Source organism: Homo sapiens, chromosome 3 (genome assembly GCF_000001405.40).
Source record: "Homo sapiens chromosome 3, GRCh38.p14 Primary Assembly".
Classification (NCBI taxonomy): Eukaryota; Metazoa; Chordata; class Mammalia; order Primates; family Hominidae; genus Homo; species Homo sapiens.
In genome coordinates, this window is record NC_000003.12 from 133,319,900 (window position 1) to 133,344,978 (window position 25,079).

Below are 25,079 nucleotides of genomic sequence, written 5' to 3' on the forward strand. Positions count from 1 at the left end.
AGTTCCAGATTTTTCCACTGAAATAGTCTACCCAGATGAGAAGGAATCAGAAAAGTAATTCAGACAATATGACAAAACAAGGTTCTGGCTGGGCGCAGTGGCTCATGCCTGTAATCCCAGCATTTTGGGAGGCTGAGGTGGGAAGATCACTTGAGCCCAGGAGTTCAAGACCAGCCTGGGCAACATAGACTCCATCTCCACATTTAAATAAAACAAGGTTCTATAACACTCCAAAAAGACCATACTAGCTCCCCAGCAGTGGATTCAAACCAAGAAGAAATATCTGAATTGCCAGATAAAGAGTTCAGAAGGTTGATTATTAAGTGACTCAAGGAAATACCAGAGAAAGGTGAAAACCAACTTAAAGAAATTAAAAAATATATACAGGATATGGATAAAAAATGCTCCAAAGAAATAGCTATCATAAAGAAAAAAAAAACAATCACAACTTCTGGAAATGAAAGACACACTTAGAGAAATACAAAATATACTAGAAAGTTTCAACAGTAGAATCAAACAAGTAGAAGAAAGAACTTCAGATCTTGAAGACAAGTTTTTCAAGTTACCCAATGAGAAAAAGACAAAACAAAATGAACAAAGCCTCCAAGAAATTTTGGATTATGTTACATACACAAATGTAAGAATAATTGGTGTTCCTGAGGAAGAAGAGAAATCTAGAAGTTTTGAAAACATATTTGGGGGAATAATCAAGGAAAACTTTCCTGGCCTTGCTAGAAATCTAGACATCCAAATACAAGAAGCTCGAAGGAAACCTGGGAAATGCAACACAAAAAGGTCATCACCCAGGTGCGTAATCATCAGGTTATCCAAAGTCAAGACAGGGAAAAAATCTTAAGAGCTGTGAGGCAAAGTCATCAGGTAACCTATAAAGGAAAACCTATTAGATTAACGGCACATTTCTCAGCAGAAACCCGACAAGCCAGAAGGGATGGGAGTTCTATCATTAACCTCCTCAAACAAAATAATTGCTAGCCAAGAATTTTGTATTGAGCAAAAACTAAGCTTCATAAATGAAGGAGAGATAAAGTCTTTTTCAGACTAACAAATGCTGAGAGCATTTGCCACTCTCAAGCCAGCACTACAAGAAATTCTAAAAAGAGATCTAAATCTTGACACAAAACCTTAAAATACACCAAAATAGAATCTTCTTAAAGCATAAATCTCACAGGGCCCATAAAACAATAACACAAAAAAACAAGGCATTCAGACAACAACTAGTACAATGAATAAAACAGTATGTCACATCTCAATAACATTGAATGTAAAATGGATTAAATGTTCCACTTAAAAGATAGAGAATGGCAGAATAGATAAAAATCCACCAACCAAGTATGTGCTGTCTTCAAGAGACTCACCTAACACATAAGGACTCACAGAAACTTAAGGTAAAGTGGTGGGGAAAGATATTCCATGCAAATGGTCACCAAAAGTGAGCAAGAGTAGCGATTCTTATATCAGACAAAACAAACTTTGAAGCAACAACAGTTTAAAAAGACAAAGAAGGACATTATATAATGATAAAAGGATCAATCCAACTGGAAAATATCACAATCCTAAATATATATGCACCTAACATTGGAGCTTCCAAATTTATAAAACAATTATTACTAGACATAAGAAATGAGATAGACAGCAACAAAAAAATACTCCACTGACAGCACCAGACTTCAGTACTCCACTGACAGCACCAGACAGGTTATCAAGACACAAAGTCAACAAAGAAACAATGAACTTAAACTATGCCCTAGAACAAATGGACTTAACAGATATTTACAGAACATTCTACCCAATAACTGCAGAATATACATTCTTTTCATCATCACATGGAACATTCTCCAAGACAGACCATATGATAGGCCACAAAACAAATCTCAATGAATTGAAGAAAGCCAAAATTATACCAAGTGCCCTCTCAGACCACAGTGGAAAAAAACTGGAAATTAATTCCAAATGGAACCCTCAAAACTATAGAAATACATGAAAATTAAATAATCTGCTCCTGAATTATCTTTGGGTCAACAGTGAAATCAAGATGGAAATTAAAAATCCTTTGAACTGAATGATAATTTTGACACAGCTTATCAAAACTTCTGGGTCACAGGAAAAGTGGTGCTAAGAGGAAAGTTCATAGCATTAAATGCCTACATCAAAAAGTCTGAAAGAGCACAAAGAGACAGTCTAAGGTTACACCTCAAGGTACTAGAGAAACAACAACAATCCAAACCCAAACCCGGCAGAAGAAAAGCAATAACAAAGATCAGAGCAGAATTAAATAAAATTGAAACAAAAAAAATACAAAAGATAAATGAAACAAGCTGGTTCTTTGAAAAGATAAATAAAATTGATAGACCATTAGCAAGATTAACCAAGAAAACAGAGAGAAAATTGAAATAAGCTCAATTAGAAATGAAACGAGAGATACTACAACTGACACCACAGAAATACAAAAGATCATTCAACACTACTATGAACACCTTTACATGCACAAACTAGAAAACCTAGAGGAGGTGGATAAATTCCTGGAAATACACAACCCTCTTAGATTAAATCAGGCAGAAGCAGAAAGTCTGAACGGACCAATAACAAATAGTGAAATTGAAAAAGTAATAAAAAAATTAACAGCAAAAAAATCCAGGACCAGACGGATTCACAGCTGAATTCCATCAGGCATTCAAAGGATTGATAACAATCTTACTGAAACTATTCCAAAAGATAGAGAAACAGGGAAACCTCCCTAAATCATTCTGTGAAGTCAGTATCACCCTAATTCCAAAACCAGGAAAGGACATAACAAAAAAGAAAACTACAGACCAATATCCCTGGTGAATATAGATGCAAAAAACATCAACAAAATACTAGCTAACCAAATCAAACAACGTATCAAAAAGATAATAAACCATGATCAAGTGGGTTTTACACCAAGGATGCAGGGATGGTTTAACATATACAAATCGATAAATGTGATACATCACATAAACAGAATTAAAAATCATATGACCATCTCAATAGACACAGAAAAGCGTTTGACAAAATCCAGCATCCTTTATGATTAAAACCCTCAGTGAAGTCAGCATAGATGGGGCATACTTCAAGGTAATAAAAGCCATCTATGACAAACCCACAGCCAACATTATACTGAACAGTGAAAAGTTGAAAGCATTCCCCCTGAGAACTGGAGCAAGACAATGATGCCCACTTTCTCCACTTCTATTCAACATAGTACTAAAAGTACCAGCCAGAGCAATCAGACAAGAGAAAGAAATGAAGGGCATCCAAATCGGTAAAGAGTAAGTCAAACTGTTACTGTTCCCCAATGATATGATTATATCATTCATCCAAAAAGATTCATCCAAAAACCCTGAAGATTCATCCAAAAAGCTCCTAGATCTGATAAATGAATTCAGTAAAGTTTCAGAATACAAAATCAATGTACACAAATCAGTAGCACTGCTATACACCAAAGTGACCAAGCTGAGAATCAAATCAAGAACTCACCCCTTTTACAACAGCTGCAAAAAAATAAAATACTTAGGAATATACCTAACCAGGGAGGTGAAAGATCTCTACAAGGAAAACTACAGAACAGTACTGAAAGAAATTATAGATGACACCAACAAATGAAAACACACCTCATGCTCATGGATGGGTACAATCAATATTGTGAAAATGACCATAATGCCAAAAGCAATCTACAGATTCAGTGCAACTCCCATCAAAATACCATCATCATTCTTCACAAAACTAGAAAAAATAATCCTAAAATTCATATGGAACCATAAAAGACCCCACATAGCCAAAGCAATACTAAGCAAAAAGAACAGATCTGTTGGCATCACATTACCTGACTTCAAACTATACTACCAGGCCATAGTTACCAAAACAGCATGGTACTGGTATAAAAATAGCCACTTAAACCAATGAAACAGAATAGAGAACCCAGAAATAAAGCCAAATATTTATAGCCAACTGATCTTCAACACAGCAAACAAAAACATAAAGTCAGGAAGGGACACCCTGTTCAACAAGTGGTGCTGGGATCATTGGCAAGCCACATGTAGAAGAATGAAGCTGGATTCTCCTCTCTCACCTTATACAAAAATCAACTCAAGATAGATCAAAGACTTAAATCTGAGACCTGAAACCATAAAAATTATAGAAGATAACATCAGAAAAACTCTTCCATACATTGGCTTAGGCAAAGAGTTCATGACCAAGAATCCAACAGCAAATTGAACAAAAAGATAAATAGATGAGACCTAATTAAACTAAAAACCTTCTGTACAGCAAAAGAAATAATCAGCAGAGTAAACAGACAACCCAGAGAGTGGGAGAAAATTTTCGCAAACTATGCATCTGACAAAGGACTACTATCCAGAATCTACAAGGAACTCAAACAAGTCAGCAAGAAAAAAACAATCCCATCAAAAAGTGGGCAAAGGACATGAATAGACAATTTTCAAAAGAAGATATACAGATGGCCAACAAATATATGAAAAAATATTCAACATCACTAATTATTAGGGAAATGCAAGTCATTACCACAATGAGATACCACCTTATTCCTGCAGGAATGGCTATAATTTAAAAAATCAATAAATAACATGTTGGCATGGATGTGGTGAAAAGGGAACACTTTTACACTGTTGGTGGAAATGTAAACTAGTACAACCACTATGGAAAACAGTATGGAGATTCCTCAAAGAACTAAAAGTAGAGCTACCATTTGATCCAGCAATCTCACTACTGGGTATCCACCCAAAGAATAAGAAGTCAGTGGCTGAACGCAGTGGCTCACACCTGTAATCCCAGCACTTTGGGAGGCCAAGGTGGATGGATCATGAGGTCAGGAGTTCAAGACCAGCCTGGCCAAAATGGTAAAACCCTGTGTCTACTAAAAATACAAAAATTAGCTGGGCATGGTGGCGGGCACCTGCGATCCCAGCTATTCAAGAGTCTGAAGCAGGAGAATTGCTTCAACCTGGGAGACGGAGGTTACAGTGAGCTGAGATCGCACCACTACACTCCAGCTTGGGCAACAGAGCAAGACTCCATCTCAGAAAAAAGAAGAAGAAGAAGAAGTCATTATATGAAAAAGACACAAACACATGCATGTTTATAGCATCACAATTCACAATTGCAAAGGTATGGAACCAGCGTAAATGCCCATCAACCAACAAGTGGTTGGTTGATGAAATATGGTATATGTACACCATGGAGAGCTACTCAGCCATAAAAAAGGAATGAAATAATGGCATTCAAAGCAAGCTGGATGGAGTTTGAAGACCATTATTCTAAGTGAAGTAACTCAGGAATGGGAAAGTAGACATCATATGTTTTCACAAGCGGGAGCTAAGCTATGAGGGTGTAAAGGCATAAGAATGATATAATGGATTTTGGGGATTCAAGAAAAAGGGCAGTAGGTGGGTGAGGGATAAAACTATGCATTGGCTACACTGCTTAGGTGATGAGTGCACCAAAATCTCAGAAATCATCACTAAAGAACTTTTCCATGCAACCAAACACCATCTGTTCTGCCAAAACTCATGAAATTTTTAAAAAGTCAAAATAAAAATTACTTAAGAGACAACAAATATCAATATTTGCACCTTATTCAGATCCTGACTCAAACAAACTGTTTAAAATCAATACATGTTAGCCAGATGTAGTGGCATGTGCCAGCAGTCCTAGCTACTTGGGAGGCTGAGACAGGAAGATCACTGGAGCCCAGGAGTTCAAGGTTGCAGTGAACCTGGGCAACAGAGAGATTATCTCTAAAAAAAATTTTTAAATAAAAATAATATATATAAAAAATAATAAAATAAAAATAAAAAATATATAATTTTTAAGTGTGTATATGTGTGTATATATATGTAAAATCAATATATGGAATATGGCTGGGAATTTGAATACTAATAACATTTGATAATATTGAAGAATTGGGTTTTTTAAGGTGCTATAACATTATGTTTACATTTTAAAAGAGAGTCATTTTAGAGGTACATGCTAACATATTTCCAGAAGAAATATGATGTCTGGGATTAACTTTAGAATAATGCATTGAAGGGAGTATAAATAAATAAGATTGACCACATGTTGATCACTGATGTAGCTGGGTGATGGGTTCATGAGGGTGGTTATACTTTTATTCCCAATTTTATAGATGAATAAGAATTTCCACAACAAAAAGTAAAACAAAAAAACACAAAATTTTCACCATGGTGAATGTGGAATTTACTGACCACCTGCCACTTCCGTAAGTGCTGTCTCTTCCATTAGATTGGGGGCAAGCCTGGGCACACACCCCAGTCTAATGGTCAAAACACATGTACTAGTGCCCCTTCCTGCCCTGGTTTATAGAGCTGACCTAGACATTGGACTTCCTGCTCACTGTAGACTCTCCTATTCTGGGTCTTTGGCTTTTATGCAACCAGCCCCAAGGACGTGTCACCCAAGGATCCCAGGAGGCAATTTGATATAATGAAATAAGTTAGTCCTTTGGAATTATAACAACCTTCACCGGGAGTCTCACCTTCCCTTTAGTAGCTATGTAATATTGAGTAAAGCCCTTCACCTTACTGGGCCTTTATGAGTTGTTGTGATGATCAAATGGAATAGTATAAACAAGGATTCTTCCCGAGAATCTGGGCTCCTAAATGTACTGGTCTTCTAAGACCCAACAATGAATCGATGAAGAGGTGGTGTCTATAGTGGGAGTGACTGACATTTTCCTAGATCACATCTGTCTTCCCCACTGGACTACATCTCCTAAAGGAAGGAACCGTACTTTGTGCTTTTGGTGTTCCCAAAATGGTTAGATGGGAAAAACATGGCCTTGGTGTCAGAAAGTCCTGGGTTCAAATTCTGTCTTCATCGATTACTAACTGTGGAGCCTTTGACATGTTTTAGCCTCCTTATCTGTGAAATAATATGTCCACTTAGAGGATTTAATGAAAGAAGACATTCAAGTGCCCACAGTATAGTTGGGGCATGAGAAGTATTATTTTCCCACCTCCGTTAGGTGCTCTCTTGATACTTGCAGAATGAATGAGTTTAACAGATGCTTCTTTGAAACATGAATGCCTCAGAAGCCTTTCAGGTACAGCTTTTCAGGTTTTTCACTGAACATAGGAACCTAGGTGGACTCCCCAGGCTGTGAGTGTGTGTGACTGTTTGCCACAAGAAGGGTGCCTTTGTGTACTTTGTGAAGGATGCTGAGTGGACAAACATGTCCCTGCTCAGAAGAAAAATGCCAGTCACCCAGAGAAAGGAATTTATAAAGAATGATTGAGACTAGTGCCAAGGTCAAGAGGAAAAATAATTCTAATTGATATTGTCAGAGCACTGGGCTTTCTTTGAAGAAAGCCACATTTTTTGACCATATTAAAGTTTCTTTGTGGTTAATTCAGGTCCCTGGCCTGGGCCTCATGGTGTTAGGGTTATTATGAAGACAGAAGTATGTAAATACCAGTTATCCAACTAGGCCTGACTGCATGTTGGAATTGACTTTTCCCCAGGCTGCCCTCAGGTCCCAGTCAGCTCTGCTCAGCCAGAGCAGCATCAGGTCGTACTAATGCCAGGCAAATCCTGAATAGTGATAGGAGCCCCCCAGAAAATGTCCATTGGCAGGAGGGCCTGAGGGCTGTTGCTTCTGTTGAAGTGTTTGAAGAGGTGCTGCCACCTCAGACTGGTGTCAAGGTCAGAATGGATGTGCAGTTAACATCTTCTTTTGCCCTTGTCAGTCTTGCTACTTCATTGCAAAAGTTCAAGGCTACAGAGGCTCAGGGGCAGGGATCCCACCTTTCTGAATGGAAAGAGCAGAGGTAAGGCTCATTTCTGTGGATGGGCGGCAGGGTCAAAGGATTCTAGAGTCTGTCAGGACAAGCAAAGACAAAAGAAGAGTCAAGAAAGTTGTGAAAAGCAGCGGTGAAATTCAGTGAAGGAAAAAGTGCAGGCAGGAGGGAGGTAGCTGTAACAAGGGTATGGAGTGAAATACGTATCTCAGTATTTTTCCCCACATGCTTAACTGATAGCCCCAATTCCGTTTGTTGGACAATTATTCTTCTCCTTGTTTTCTAATACCACCTTTGTTGTGGACTAATTTTTCATCTTTTGGGGGCTTGCTGTTTAGTTCCATTCATCTGTCTCTGATCTCATGTCAGTGTGTTGTGTTGGAGTCTAAGAGTGCAAGTCCAGGGAAATTCAGACCTACATTCAGAACTACAGTTAGATGTGTGCTTTCCCAAATAGGAGACTCTTCTGTTCATCATTTTAAATGTTGTATCCTAATGTCATGAGGTCAGAAGGAACTGTTTAGGACAACGGTGTGTGCCTAATAGGGAATTAATTATTTGTGCCTGAGTGTAAGACCATGTCATGACCTTCCGATCACAAGAAAATGAGGTATCGTTGGAAAAAAACTCTAAGCCTGTCACCTGGATGTAAAAGTCGGGTTGGTGAGATCAGGCACATTCAGGGTGGTACGGTGGTAGACTAAAAGCCTACTAAAGATAAATGAAAGTCCCAGTAATTTGATTAGTTTTTTCTGTTTCTGCAAGTCACCAAAGTACATGAGCACTCAGTGGCCTTTATACTGTATGGTGGCCCCAGCCTGGTTCAGCAGGGTGTCTTCCCTCTCTATCACTCTGTGAGAAGCAGAGGGACTCTGATTGTTTCTACTCAAGCAGGGTGAGAACAATGTTATCAGGCATTTCCAGGCAGATAGCAGAGGTGGATTTTCCTAACCTCATCCCACCCTCTCTCATCTCATGCTGTCAGACTGTCATGCAGCTGCAGACAGAATCCATCCCCAGAGAACAGTGGATGGTGGAACCACATGTTTATTTTACTTTTAGTTTCCAAGTTTGCAGTAGGTTAGATGTAACATAGGAATGAACCCTGAACAATGCTTTCTGAACCTTCTATGCCACAGGTTCCCCCAAATAATTGGGAGTGGTTGGAAGGAATCAAGGAGGAAGATGGTTAGAGGTAATTATTCACTGCTCTCTTTTCAGTCTCATCGTGCTAAATCCATGCCTCTGTTTTAAACCTTATTACATCATGGTGGTATTTATTTATCTGTATGTCTTCACACCCACCCCCAACCCCTGCAGGCTGCCTAAGAGTGTCTGGACTGTTTTAACCATTTTCGGAATCTAGTGTGATGTCTGGAATATAGTAAATAAGTGTTTGAGAAATTGTGACATGCACATGTCTAGGAATGTATGTGGCAACACTAGTACTTTGTGAAAACCCCATTTCTATTCAGTTCAGGCTTATGGTTTGTGTGGTAGTTGTAGTTGGGAAGGGGAGTGTCTGCTTTAAAAAAACATTAACACCCCAAATTGCCTAATGCCTGGGACTATTTTCCAAGTCGCCTTCACTAGAATCAGAGATGGAATCTGGGGAAAGAGGTTGGGGCTCTTTGCTGAGAAAGGTAAATATTTTTCCCTATGCAGGTGACACATTACTGCTTCAGTTCATTGATGCCTAGATCCTATGACAGCCTGGCAGGTGACTGGCAGAATTTTGCTGTGTCTTGTCCCGGCAGTCAGGATTTCAGGCCTCAAAGAAAAGCTCCAGTGAAAAGGAAGGGGGAAATCCTGGGAGTGGAAGAAACCCAACCTCCAGCGGCTCCTTTTCCCTGCAGGTTCATCTTTGAGCAGCTTTGCTAATCAGACAAGAAGGTCTTTTGGGAGAGATTTTACTTATCCTTTCCTTTCCTCAGAAAGCCTCCTTTTTTTTATTTATTTTTTTAAGGCAAAGAAAAAGTTTCAACAATTCTTATCATAGCCTGCAGGCACACAAGAGCAGGAGAAAAAGCAAATTGCAAAGTGAAGACCCAGCACCCTGTGTTTAGCCTTCACCCAAAATTGCACTGCACGGTGAACACTTAATTGCTGAGTAAACATGTTTCTAGGCTGTGATCTAGATTCCCTAAGAGAAGGGTTATAGGATAGTGTGTGGTTATATTCCCTCTACCTAGAGAGGATTAAGTCTAAAATCTCCTGCATCAAGAATCTTGGTGCTGGGAAAGATGCAATACAGGTTCTCCAAGGAATGAGTTTCCACCTGTCTTTTTATGCTTTGCATCTGGCAGTTTCCTGCTTTTGGAGAAAAAAAAATCTGTGACAGCATACAGGAGGAAAAGGAACATTAAAAATGCCATAAATACTTCTAGCTATTTACCTACCCTGAAATGTGCTAGATCAGTTCCCTTGATGAAGACAACTTTTTAAAAAATAAGTTTCCTTTCAATAGATAAGAAGCCTTCTCTCTGCTGGCCATGCTTCCCCTGCGGAAGCCTGTGGTGCAGTAGCTGCTGCTGAGACTCCTCTGCCAGTTGCTATGGAGAGCAGCTGCAGGGGAGGGGATTCCTGGAGAGGCAAAGAGGTGGAGAGGAAGCTCTCCTGTCTAAATCCAGATTCTCCATCTGAAAAGGTTAAGCAGGAGGGAAACAATATTCAAAGATGGGTGTGGGTTTGGAGGTGGGGTGTGTATATATGTGTGTGTAAGAGAGAGAATATGAGAATATGTATTATTTTGATATGTGGGTTATAGCTAGTTTTCTTGGAAAAATCCTTTTCTAGAATGACATAGGAGAAAGTCTTGGGTAGTAAAACCATCTGGTTTTACAAGAAAGTGATTACACAGATTATATCTTGTGTTTATCTTTTTGTTGGTGGTGGTGGTAATAGTGTATTTGCTTTGTTCTGTTGTTTAGCAAAAATAAAGTGCTTGTGTCTTCCAATTATATTTAGCTTTTTCTAGACAATGGAGCCAGCTTTGTTGGCCTCATGAATTCTGACTCATATTTTGATGCTGACCAAATTGCATCTGTTTTTTTAATGTGTTCAATTCTATGGAAACTAGTTAAACAAATAACTTTATAACAGAGTATATCAGGCTAAGAGGAAGAAAGGGATTCCTTAAAAGTATGATGTTTGGGATTTACCTCAAAACAAAGCATTAGAAGTTAAAAGTAGACAACATAACATAGCAGAGAAAGAGGATCAAATAAATATATAAAATAGTTATAATTATCTGATGGAATTTACCTTAAAACAACATAGGAGAGGAGGGACGGGGATGGGGATTTAGATGAAACTAGACTGACTGGGGGCTGATAATGTTTGGTGCATGGGAGGCTTATGATACTACATAGAGGTTTACTTAAACCTCTAATAAAAAATCAAAAAGTCATAAAGTAAAAAGAAGCAGTTGTACATGTGTCTGTCAGCTCTTAAATATGGAAGAAATCATGGTAGGCCTCAACAAAATGAGGCTGCAGGCTAGAAAAACATTTTACTAAAGGGAATATACTGACGTTTGGTGTGGGTGGTTGATTGGTTTGGAGACGCTCACTGTCATCAGATGTCTTATTTGTAATGAAAAAATGCTGGTTACACAGGAGGGAAATGATATTCAAGGGTGAGTATATGGATTTGATCTAGGGTTAACAGGTCTCTCCCATTGTTGATTATTTTATGGCCCAAGCATTAGCATCCTAATGGAACATTCCTCTGATGGAACATTAATAGAGGCAGAGAAACTAGACAAATGACTGTATTTCCTAAAACCAATGACAAACTATCCAGTGTGGGCTACAGTATATGGGTTGAACAGCCAAAATATTGCCTTTCTTAGCCTATCAGAACCCTCTGAAGAGCACAAGGCATATAGAAACTGCCCTGAGCAACTATGTCAGTGCCATTTATAGACTACAAGCTATGTATCTACTGGGACTCCCAAGGACCCGTACTGATTATCATTTCTCATCTGATTTTCCCAGGCATGGCCCTCTGTGTTCAATGATACACATATTCAAGAACTCAGAAGAAGCAATCTTATTAGTACTTGTCAGGGGAATTCTAGTGATGGAGGATGGGGAGGCCTCAAGACCCAAGAGGCCAGACCAGAAGTCAGCTTATGTCAAAAATATGTACTGAAACTTTGAGTTCAATTTTCTGGCTACAGGGTTTGGATCGTGATCTGGTCTTATAGTCAGACCTGATATAGCCAGGTCTGAACGTATAGACCATAGTCACACTTAGGGGACTGCAACCTTGAGTTTCTACAGCACATTCTTGTGCTTTTTATGGAGTTACATGTTGGTTGGAAGAAAACTTGTGCACATGTGTGCTTGTGCGCGTGCGTGCGCACGTGCACACACACACACACACACACACACACACACACTTACCTAGACACTCTCTAAGTTTAGCTTAAGGACCTCACCCCATTTAGTTAGCCAAGAGGACAAAAATATCATCTGAAGTCTTATAGGGGAGGGGTGCACAAGGAGCAGAAGATGATAAATGGTACAGTGAATCTCCAGATGGCTCCCTGTAGCTCCCAGGGTCCCTCAGTTGACTTATCCAGGCAGATCATGATCCAAAGTGGCTGAGGTGTCCAATTTGCCACTGGAACAGCCACTCCTCATATTAGGAAGGACAGTGTATGAGGGAGGAAAATGGTTTCATCTATTTCTACCTTAAAGTCTCGCTCTGAAAGCTAGTTAATGCCCACTAAACAGGGAAAGCTGGGAGAGTTGTAATATGTGGCAGGAGATACCAACAGTGACACACAGGGACCAGAGAGATCCATCTCAGTGTGGACCCTGGCTTTTAGGCAGGTAGGTAAAATAGTGTTAGAACAAGATTCTTCTGATGCTGTGGTAATTAGCCTTATTAGGAAATGCTTATAGCCCCAAACTTAAATCTTGGGTGCTGGTATATTTCAAGACGTTTCTCAAAATGGGAGATAGAGGGTTATACCTTGTAGCCATTCTATTTTAGTCATTTTCAATCAGCTCGATTCAGTCTTCTTCCTATCCTTTAAGTTGATCATTCACACTGCATAGCATGTTCCTTTAACCAAGAAACCATTAGGAAAGTGAATGACCATTTGTGTTACTTTCACAAACTATTTCAGGAAGATAAATTGACATACAGAAAGAGAGTTTATCCCTTGTAGTGCTCCAAGTATCAGATCCCTGAGGGTTTGTCAAAGAATTAGACCATCTCCTCAGTCCCTAACATGAATCCACCATGACCCCATCTGCGGCCAGAGTGGAATGGCTGCATATGCCATGGTGACAAGGCCCTAGCAAGCTCTATGTGGGTGCAGCACCTCTCCTTCCTTGTAGGGTGAAGGTCTCTTTGTGGGAGCTTGTGGCTTTTTTGAGGGAAGCCATGCCTCTAGTTCTATGATGAAAGTTCTAGACCTGCACTGTCCAGTATAGTAGCCATACACTGGCTATTAAATTTAAATTTTCATTAAAACAACACACCCTTGGATGTTCTTTCTCTCCCTCACCTTTTCATTCTTTCCAGTCCCCCATACCTGTTTTCTGAAATTACTCTCCAAAATAAACTCTCTACATTTTAACCATGTATCAGACTACTTTTTTCACCTTCTTTACTCTGCTTATCCATTCCCTGGCCCCTCTTTCAAAAAAAAAAAATCAAATAAACTTAGAGCCAGAAAGACCTTTAGAAAACATTTATTTCCATACCTTTTGGCTATAGATAAGGACACAGAGGCCCAAAGAAAGTAATATGCCCCTGCTATAAATTGTCTTTCTTGTAGAAAAGATGTGTGAATCAAAAGTAGAGAATCAAAAAATAAATAAACAATAAAGGACCCCTTAGCTTGGCATACAGTTCCAAAGTCAAGAATAAGACTTTATTAACAGAGAGAAAAGAGAGCTAACCTTTGACGTGGCATAAAAGGCTTAAGAGTTGAAATAGAGAAGTAACTGTACAATTTTGTTCAAAAAAGAAAGTTTTAAACATAAAAGATATTCAGAGTTTTGGGTCAACTGCATCTTTCTGGAGAGTTTAGTTTCTTGTTAAGTCAATTTGTGTATTTTCATTGAGCATACATCCTTAACAAGGTTTCATACATGCTGGCACTTTGAGGGACAGTCAAGGGACATTCTGAAAGAACTCCCAATAGACTGGGGATCAGGAGATTGAATTTCAAATTACATTTCGTCCATTAATTGACTCTGTAAACTTGAAAAAGTCATTTCCTTTCTCTGGGCTATGTGGAAGTTCCTTTTTTTATAAATGACAAATAGCCTTATCATGGAATCATAGAATATTAACTTTAGAGGTGGTTTAGAGCCCATCCTCATTTTGCAGGTCCAAAGAAATGAAGTGAGTTTCGTCAGTTAATACGATAGCTCCTCCTGGGGAAAAAAAAAGAAAAAAGAAGTGAGTTTCTGCAAGTTGTTGAGTTAGAATCAGACCACATACTACCTGATCCTCAATCTAGGATTAATTTGACGAATATTCCTAGCCATGAAATCTTGTGACTCCATGATCACAAGATAAGACAGTATTTCTGCCGTGAAGGATCATAGCCAAATTGAGGAGACACTTGATACCCATAAATAGTTATTATTTAAGACAAAAAACGAGACCCAGTAAGACTGACAACCCTCACTTAAATTAAGGCCATTGAGAGAAGCAGATTGTCAGGAAAATCCGTGAGGTTCGAGCTGAGCTTTTAAAAAATTGAGTAGATGGAAAATGTCATTATGGGTGTATGAAAGTAGCCAGAGCAAGACATGGACATGGGATCAGCCAGGAGGACAATGACTGTGTCCATCTGGCAGGAGGAGGTGAGATGGGGTTCGCAGGTTATGGTCCTTGGAGAGAAGTTCTTGGTGTTGCCCTTCCTCACTCCTTGGGGCAGGTCTGAAGATATAGTGAAGGGATCTGACACACGCTTTCAAGTCTGTAACAGAGAAGGAAGTAGAATGTGGAAACTATGACCAGGAGCCCTTAAAGTAATTAAATAGTTAAATAGTTAAAGATGCTAATTTCTGATTTGTCCTCAAGCAATTTTATTTTTAAATGACATTTTAGGCATAACTGATACATGGTGTTCCTGGCATCAGGATAGTTAGAAAATTCAATTAGTAGACTAATGAAGAACAGTTCACATTTTTGCTGGTAGTTGTTTGGAACAGATTGTTTAAATAAGCATAATTGTTTGTTTAGAAACAGGAATGGGTAAGCCCTTTATCAAGCCCACCAGCTTGATAAATTTCTTATTTTACATAGGATTGGTAAGGAAGAGATTCAGAGTTTCATATTTGTAATTAGAGAAATGTAATTATGGTAGGAAAATAGCAGTACATATACTTTAAAGATGAAGAAATAAGGAAGCATCAAAATAAAAGCAATACAAGCAGTAAAATAGAAATTGTAAAGCAAGATGAGAGAAATAAGACCTACCAACATTTATGTCAATAAATGTAAATGAATTAAAGTCCTCCGCTGGATGACAAAGACTTTCATTTAAAACAAAGCATAGCCATGTGCTCCATTCACCTAACTCAAATGACACAAAAGATTTACAAATAAAGATAGAGAAAAATCAGACAAAAATAAAACAAATATATTTTTAAATCAAAAAAAGCAAAAGTCAGAACAAGGTAGTAGTGGCACTATTAATATTGGTTAAAATAAAACTCCAGAGGAAAATGCTTTGGATAGAGGATTGTTTTATAAAAGTTGCAATCCACAATGAATGTGTAATGTACTATAACATAGCACAGAAATACAAAAGCAAAAGCTATTTGAAGACAAAAAAGTGGGATAAAATATAATTGTTGTGAAAAACTTAGCATATCACATTTAGTCTTTAGTAAATTATGGAATCAAAATTAAATAAGATTTGATAAAGAAAATGTGGTATATAGAATGAGCAGAGCAAAATGATCAAATAGAAGGCTCTATCAATTGTTCCCCCATGCGGGAACACCAAATTTAATAACTATCTACACCAAAAAACACCTTCAAAAGAACCAAAAATAAGATGAGCACTCACAGTACCTGGTTTTACCTTCATATCGCTGAAAGAGTCATTGAAGAGGATAGGAAACACAGTGCTGAATCACCGATGGTACCCTTCCCTCATCCTCTGCCGGGAGCTGCACGGCACGGAGAAAGAATCTGTTCACTTCAGTGTGAGAGTGCAACAATTGTGGGACAGTGTGTTGAACTCAGTGCTGCCCTGTCACAACAGAAAGCAAAACTGGGCTGAACTTAGCCGACACCCACCCATCAAGGGAGTATTTAAACCAGCCCTAGCCAGAGAGGAATTGCCCATCCCAGTAGTTGGAACTTGAGTTCTGGCAAGCTGCACCACTGAGGGCTAAAGGCCTTTGGGCCCTAAATAAACTTGAAAGGCAGTCTAGGTCACAAAGACTCCAATTCCTAGGTAAGTTCTGGTGCTGAACTGAGCTCAGAACCAGTGGACTTTAAGGCGCATGACCTACTGAGACACCAGCTGGGAGTGCTTATGCCACCTTTCCCCCAACCTAAGGGTTGGAGATTTGCTTATCCCACCCTTCCCCAAACCCCAGTTGCACAGCTCATGGCTCCAAAAATGACCCCTTCCTTCCACTTGAGAATAGGAGAGGGAAGAGTTAAGAGAACTTTGTTTTGCCTCTTGGATACCAGCTCATCAGAGTGGGATAGGGCAACAGTCAGAGTATGAGGCCCTCTTTCCAGTCCCTAGCTCCCAGTTGGCATTGCTAGACACCCTGGGCCTGAAGGGAACTCACTGCCTACTAAAGAGTCCTTGGGCTCTAAATAACCAGCAGCAATACCCAGGTACTTTGCCATGGGTCTTGGGTGGGACTCTGAGACTCACTGGCTTCAAGTGAGACTCAGCACATTCTCAGGTGTGGTAGCTATGGGGAGAGACTACTTCTGCTTGAGAAAAGTGGAGGGAAAAGTAAAAGGGACTTTGTCTTTCATCTTGTGTACCAGCTCAGCCACAGAGGGGCAGAGCAGCAAGGGGGCTCTTAGGGTCTCTGATTCCAGGCCATGGCTCTTGGATAGCATGGCTGGACCTGCCTTGGGCCAGAGGGGAGCCCACTGCCCTGAAGGGTGAGTCCCCAGGCCAGGCAGCATTCACAACAAGCCAACTGAAGAGCTCTTGGGCTTAAAGTAAATGTTGGCAGTAGACTGGCAGTACTCCCCTGTGGCCTATGGTAGTAGCGGCTGTGAGGTGAGGCTTCTCTCCCTGTGGAAAGGGGAGGAAAGAGTGAGAAGGACTGTGTCTCATGGTTTGAGTGCCAGCTCAGCCACAGTACAGTAGAACACCAGGTAGGTAGACTTCTGAGGTTTTTGACTCCAGCCCCTGGCTCCTGGGTGGCACCTCTGGACCCACCTGGGGCCTGGAGAAACTTGCTGCCCAGAAGGAAAGGAAACAAACCTGGCTGACTTCTCCACCTGCTGATCAAAGAACCCCAGGACCTTTAGCAAATGGTAGCCAGGTAGTAGTTATAGCAGGCCTTGGGTGAGATCCAGTGCTGTGCAGGCTGCAGGTCTTACCCAGCACACTCCCATTGATGGTAGCTACAGGGGCGCTTGTGTCATCCCACTCCCAGCTCCAGGTGGCTCAAAACACAGTGTGAGACTCCATTTATTTGGGAGAAGTTAAGGGAACAGAACAAGAGTTTCTGCCTGGTAATTCAGAGAATTCTTTCAGATCTTATCCAAGACCATTAATGCAGTACCTCTATGAGTCTGTAAGAACCACAGCGTTACTGGGCTTCAGGTGTCCCCTAACGCAGATATGGCTTAGATCACAATACCTAACTCCTTTTGAATATCTGAAAAGCCTTCTTAAGAAGGATGGTTACAAACAAGCCCACACTGTGAAGACTACAATAAATACCTAATTCTTTAATGCCCAGACGTCGAAGAACATCAACAAGAATCAAGATCATATAGGAAAACATGACCTCACCAAATGAACTTAAATAAGGTAGAAAGGACCAATCCTGGAGAAAAAGAAATGTGTGACATTTCAGACAGAGAATTCAAAATAGCTGTTTTGAGGAAATTCAAAGAAATTCAAGATAACACAGAGGAGGGATTCAGAATTGTATCAGATAAATTCAACAAACAGATTGAAATAATTAAAAACAATCAAGCAGAAATACTGGAGTTGAAAAATGCAATTGACATGCTGAAGAATGTATCAGGGTCTTTTAATAGCAGACTTGAGCAGAAGAAAGAATTGGTGAGCTTGAAGACAGGCTATTTAAAAATACACGTCGGAGGAGGCAAAAGAAAAAAGAACAAAAAACAATGAAGCACACTTATAAGGATCTAGAAAATACCCTCAAATGGGCAAATCTAAGAGTTATTGGCCTTAAAGAGGAGATGGAGAAAGAGATGGGGTAGAAAGTTTATTGAAAGGGATAATAACAGAGAACTTCCCAAACCTAGAGAAAGATATCAATATCCAAGTACAAGAAGGTTATAGAACACCAAGCAGATATAACCCAAAGAAAGCTACCTCAAGGCATTTAATAATTAAACTCCCAAACGTCAAGGATAAAGAAAGGATGCTAAAAGCAGCAAGAGAAAAGAACAACATAAAATGAAGGTACAGTACATCTGGCAGCAGACTTCTTAGTGGAAACCTTACAGGCCAAGAGAGAGTGGCATGACATATTTAAAGTACTGAAGGAAAAAACTTTTATCCTAGAATAGTGTATCCAGTGAAAATATACTCCAAACCTGAAGCAGAAATAGACTTTCCCAGACAAACAAAAGTTAAGGGATTTCATCAACATTAGATCTGTCCTACAAGAAATGCTAAATACAGTTCTTCAATCAGAAAGAAAATGACATTAATGAACAATAAGACATCATCTGAAGGTACAAAACTCACTAGTATTAGTAAGTACACAGAAAAACAGAATACTGTAACACTATAACTGTGGTGTGTAAACTGCTCATATCTTAAATTGAAAGACTAAAAGATGAACCAATCAAAAATAATAACCACAACAACTTTTGAAGACATTGACAGCACGATAAGATATAAATAGAAACAACAAAAAGCTTAAAATCAGGAGGATGAAATTAAGGCATACAATTTTTAATAGTCTTATTTTTGCTTGGTTATTTATGCAAAGAGTGTTGTTATCAGCTTAAAATAATGGGTTATAAGATAGCATTTGCAAGCCTCATGGTAGCCTCAAATCAAAAAGCTAATGGATACACAAAAAATCAAAAGCAAGAAATTAAATAATAACACCAAAGAAAATAATAACACCAAAGAACAGAACACAGGAAGGAAGAAAAGAAGGAAGAGAAGACCACAAAACAACCAGGGGGCAAATAACAAAATGACATGAGTAACCCTTACTTATCAATAATAACATTGAATGTAAATGGACTAAACTCTCCAATCAAGGACATAGAGTGGCTGAGTGGATTAAAAAAAAAACCAAGACCTAATTATCAGTTGCCTATAAGAAACACACTTCACCTATAAAGACAAAAATAAACTGAAAATAAAGGGATGGAAAAAGATCTTCCATGCCAATGGAAACCAAAAAAGTGCAGTAGCTATACTTATACAAAATAGATTTCAAGACAAAAGCTTTAAGAAGAGACAAAGAAGGTCACTATATAATGATAAGGAGTCAATTCAGCAAGAGGATAGAATAATTTTAAATATATATACACCCAACACTGGAGCACCCAGATATTTAAATCAAAGATTATTAAAACTAAAGAAAGTGACCCCAATACAATAATAGCTGGGAACTTCAACACTCCACTTTCAGCATTGGACAAATCTTCCAGACAGAAAATCAACAAAGAGACATCAGACTTAATATGCACTATAAACCAAATGAACTTAATAGATATTTACAGAATATTTCATCCAGTGGCTGCAGAATACATATTCCTTTCCTCAACATATGGATCATTCTAAAGAATAGACCATGTGTCAGGTCACAAAACAAGTCTTAAAACATCCAAAAAATTGAAATAATACCAAGTATATTCTCTGACCACAATGGAATAAAGCTAGAAATCAATAACAAGAGGAATTTAGGAAACTATACAAATGCATAGAAATAAACATTATGCCTCCTGAATGACCAGTGGGTCAATGAAGAAATCAGAAGGAAATTGAAAATTTTCTTGAAACAAATGATAATGAAAACACAATATACCAAACCTGTATGATACAGTGAAAGCAGTACTAAGAAGAAAATTTATAGCTATAAGTGCCTATATCAAAAAAGAAGAAAAATGTCAAATAAACGACCTAATATTACATCTTAAAGAACTAGAAGAGCAAGAGGAAAACAAATCCAAAATCAGTAGAAGAAAATAAGAAAGCTCAGAACAGAAATAAATGAAATGAAATGAAGGAAACAATACAAAAGATTAATGAAACAAAAAGTTGTTTTTTTTTGAAAAAATAAAATTGACAAACCTTTAGCCAGACTAGCTAAGAAAAAAAGAAGACCCAAATAAAATCAGAGATGAAAAAGGAGATTACAGCTGATACTGCAGAAATTCAAAGGATCATTAGTGGCTATCGTGAGCAACTATATGTCAATAAATTGGAAAATCTAGAAGAAATAGACAAATTCCTAGACACATACAGCCTAACAAGATTGAACCATGAAGAAATCCAAAACTTGAACGGACTAATAACAAATAACAAGAGCAAACCTTTAGTAACAGTTCTCCTAGCAAAGAAAAGCCCAGTCTCTGATGACCAAACATTTAAAGAACAACTAATACCAATTCTACTCAAACTATTTCAAAAAATAGAGGAGAGAATACTTCCGAACTCATTCTATAAGACCAGTATCACCCTGATACCAAAACCAGACAGAGACACATCAAAAAAAAACAAACAAAAAAACTATAGGCCAGTATCACTAATAAATATTGATGCAAAAATTCTCAATAGAATATTAGCAAACTGAATTCAACAATATATTCAGAAGATCATTCATCATGACCAAATGGGATTTATCCCAGGGATGCAAGGATAATGCACAAATCAATTAATGTAAAACATAATATTAACAGAATGAAGGACAAAAACCATATGATCATTTCAAATGATGCTAAAAAAGCATTCAACAAAATTTAACATTCATGATAAAAACCCTCAAAAAAGTGGGTATAGAAGGAACATACCTCCACATAATAAAAGCCATATACTACAGACCAATCACTAGTATCATACTGAATGGGGAAAAACTAAAAGACTTTCCTCTAAGATCTAGAACACGGCAAGGATGCCCACTTCCACATTGTTATTCAACATAGCAGTGGAAGTCCTATCTAGAGCAATCAGACAATAGAAATAAAGGAGATCCAAATTGGAAAGGAAGAAGTCAAATTATCCTTGTTTGCAGATGATATCCTATATTTGGAAAACCCTAAAGACTCCATACACACCAAAAAAACTATTAGAACTGATAAATTCAATAAGTTGCAGGATACAAAATCAACATACAAAAATCAGTAGCATTTCTGTATGCCAGCAGTGAATAATCTGAAAAGGAAATCAAGAAAGTAATCCCATTTACATTAGCTACAAATAAAATAAAATACCTAGGAATTAACCAAAGATCTCTACAATGAAAACTATAAAACATTAATGCAAGAAATTGAAGAGAACACCAAAAAATGGAAAGATATACCGTGTCTATGGATTGAAATAATATTGTTAAAATGCCCTTACTACCCAATGCAATCTACAGATTTAATGCAATCCCTATCAAAATACCAATGACATTCTTCACAGAAATAGTAGAAATAGTCCTAAAACATATGTGGAACTGCAAAGATCTAGAATAGCCAAAGCTATCCTAAGCAAAAAGAACAAAACTGGAAGAATCATATTACTTGACTTTAAGTTATACTATGGAGCTATAATAACCTAAACTACATGCTACTGACATAGACACATAAATCAGTGGAACAGAATAGAGAACCTGGAGAAAAATCCATGCATCTACAATGAACTCATTTTTGACAAAGGGGCCAGGAACATACATTGGAGAAAAGACAATCTCTTCAATAAATGGTGCTGGAAAACTGGATATCCATATGCAGAAGAATGAAACTAGACCCCCATCTTTCACCATATTACAAAAATCAAATCAAAATGGATTTAAAACCTAAATCTAAGACCTCAAACTATGAAACTACTAAAAGAAAACATTGGGGAAACCCTCCAGGACATTGAACTGGGCAAAAATTTCTTGAGTAACACCCCACAAGCACAGGCAACCAAAGCAAAAAGAACAAATGGGATCACTTCAAGTTAAAAAGCATCTGCACAGCAAAAGAAATAATTAATAAAGTGAAGAGACAACCCACAGAATGGGAGAAAATATTTGCAGACTATCTATCTGACAAGGGATTAATAATCAGGAAATATAAATTTCAAACAACTCCATAGGAAAAAAATCTAATACCCCAATTTAAAAAATGGGCAAAATATCTGAATGGGTATTTCTCAAAAGAAGACATACACATGTCAAACAGGTATATGAATAAGACCCAGTATTTGCTAGTACAACCGGGTGACTCTAGTCAAAAATAATTTAATTATACATTTTAAAAATAACTAAAAGAGTATAACTGGATTGTTTGTAACACAAAGGATAAATGCTTGAGGCAGGATGGATACCTCATTTACCCTGATGTGATTATTATGCATTGCATGTCTGTATCAAAATATCTCATGTAATCCAAAATATATACACCCACTATATAACCACAAAAATTAAAAATTAAAAAAGTTAAAAAAGAAAATGTGGTATATATATATACACACACACACACAATGGAGTACTCTGCAGCCATAAAAAATGAAAATTCATGGCAACACAAATAAGCCTAGAGGACATTATGTAAAGTGAAGTAAGTAAGGCACAGAAAAATAAATACTGCATCTTCTTAGTCATGTGGGAGCTAAAGTTGTTGGTCTCATATAAGTAGAGAGCAGAATTGTGATTACTGGAGCCTGAGAAGGGTGGAAGTAGGGAGAAGAGAATAGGGAGAGGTTGGTTAAGGGATACAAAATTACACTAGATAGGAGAAATAAGATCTAGTGTTATTAGCACTGCAGAGTGACTATAGTTAACAATAATTTATTGTATATTTTCAAATAGTTAGAAGAGAATTTTGAACGTTCCCAACACAAAGAAATGATAGATGTTTGAGATGATGGATATGGCAATACCCTGATTTGGTTATTACACATTGTATACATGTATTGAAATATCATTCTATAGCCCATAAATATGTGCAATTATTACATGTCAAGAAAAAATGTGCAAAAGATACAAAGCAGCATTTCAAAAAGATATATGGGTGGCATGCATATAAAAAAAGTGCCCAAGACTATTTGTCCTTAGAGAAGAGGAAACTAAATCCAAAATGAAATACTGCAGCACAACTGTTAGAATGGCTAAAACATTGACAGCAACAAATGCTGGTGAGAATGTGGAGCAACAGGAACTCTAATTAATTGAGGATGGGAAGAAATGATGATACAATCACTTTAGAGACACTGTAGACGTTTCTTATAAAGCTGAGTATATAGATATTATTCAACCTAGCAATCTCACTGTTTGGTGTTTATCCAAGTAAATTGAAAATATATGTTCTACAAAAACTTGCATGTGAATGTTTAATAGCTTACAGTAGCTTTATTCTTAATATCTCCAAACTGTTAAGAACCAAGATGTCCTTCAGCAGGTGAATGAGTAAACAAACTGTGGTACAATCATGCAGTGGAACACTATTAAGCAATAAAAGAGAACAAGGTTGCTGATTTGTGCAAAGACATGAATAAATCTTAAGTAGATTTTGTTAACTGAAAGAAGCCAGAGCCAAAAAGAAAAGGAAACTATATGGACAGAAAATAGATCAGTGCTTGTCAGTGATTGGGGGAGGAGGGTCAGGGTGACTAAAAATGGGCTGTACAGTGAAATGTTAGGGTGTATAAACTCTTACTAGGGTTGTGGATATCTGATGGTATGCATTTACCAAACCCTTATAAGATGTTTATCACAAACAGTGAGATTTAATATATGCAAAATGAAAAAAAATCAACTAGATTTGAGAGTCCAGGGTTGGACTGCAGACTGGGGAAAGTGAATATCCAGTTGACCCTTGAACAACATACGTTTAAACTGCATAGGTCTACTTATACACAACCTTTTTCCAACCAAACCATATCAAAAATATAGTAGTCACAGAGTGCCATCCCCCTGCACTCTCCATCCACAGAAAAATTGTCTTCCATGAAACCAGTCCCTGGTGCCAAAAGGTTGGGAACCACTGTTACAGATGATATAATCTTCTTTTCAAATATCCATGGATCATTCATTAAAAATTATTCTATACTGGACCAAAAAATTAAAAACCCTTAAATTCAAAAAAGTAAAACCTCTCCTTAGTGCAATAAAAACTAGGATTAGAAATTTAAAAAATAAAAAATTTAAACAAAAATCTCACAGCTATTTTGGCATTAAAGCAAACTTACCCTAAATAAATATTAGATATTAGAAAAAGTTAAAAATTCAAATATCGATTGCACAGAAAATAACATCAGTCCAAAAACTACATGTCAAAACTTATGGTTGAAAAGTGATCACAATATACTATTTTATAGAAATACTTAAGGCATAAGTAACAGAAGGAAAGAAGATGCATTAGTAATAAATTCTGAATGCAAAGCAAAAAGATATATATCCTTCCAGACAAAGCTTTCATCTTTTAATAAGGAAGAATGAAGATAAATTACCTATTAATTCAGCCCAAAAAAAAATCAAAAGATAACAAAATGAATTTAAAGAAGATATGAAGAGAAAATGGAATATAATTAGAAATTAGAAAAACAATCACACTTATGAATTATCCAGTAGTTGATTGGGAACAAAATAATAAAATGTGCACCTTTCAGTCTAGTAAGGGAAAATGTGAATTTAGTAAGGCAAAACAAAAAAATTTGGTATGAGAAAAGTATATTACAGATGAGGAAACTTTAAAGCAATTGCTACACTTTGTACTATACTTTGTATTACATATTTAGTGTAAAATTTTCAACAAAATTCAAAATCTCCTAGGAAAAAAATCAACCAAAATTATATAGGAAGTCAGAATTATAAGCATGGATGGTATTTTTAAGTTTTTAGGTTGTCAAAGAATTATTCCCAAAAAGAAGTTTTTTACTATTTACAAGTA

The 25,079-nt window shown here is 37.5% G+C and overlaps 1 protein-coding gene and 1 long non-coding RNA gene across 5 annotated transcripts in view; one reads left to right on the forward strand and one right to left on the reverse strand.

Annotated features, from left to right (window-relative positions):
* The window catches only part of TMEM108 (transmembrane protein 108), a 359,385-nt gene that overhangs the window by 281,509 nt on the left and 52,797 nt on the right, over positions 1 to 25,079 (forward strand). The window lies entirely within an intron of this gene.
* Positions 13,507 to 25,079, reverse strand: part of LOC101927432 (uncharacterized) — a 48,388-nt gene continuing 36,815 nt past the window's right edge. Inside the window, exons 7-10 of one of the 2 annotated variants that reach the window (NR_189053.1) lie at positions 15,867 to 16,047; positions 15,267 to 15,366; positions 14,470 to 14,763; positions 13,507 to 14,212 (exon numbers count right to left, since the gene is read on the reverse strand). This is a non-coding gene — a long non-coding RNA (uncharacterized LOC101927432). Of the gene's footprint in view, positions 14,764 to 15,266; positions 15,367 to 15,866; positions 16,048 to 25,079 lie in introns of both variants that reach the window. The other variant, NR_189054.1, reaches the window with a different exon arrangement.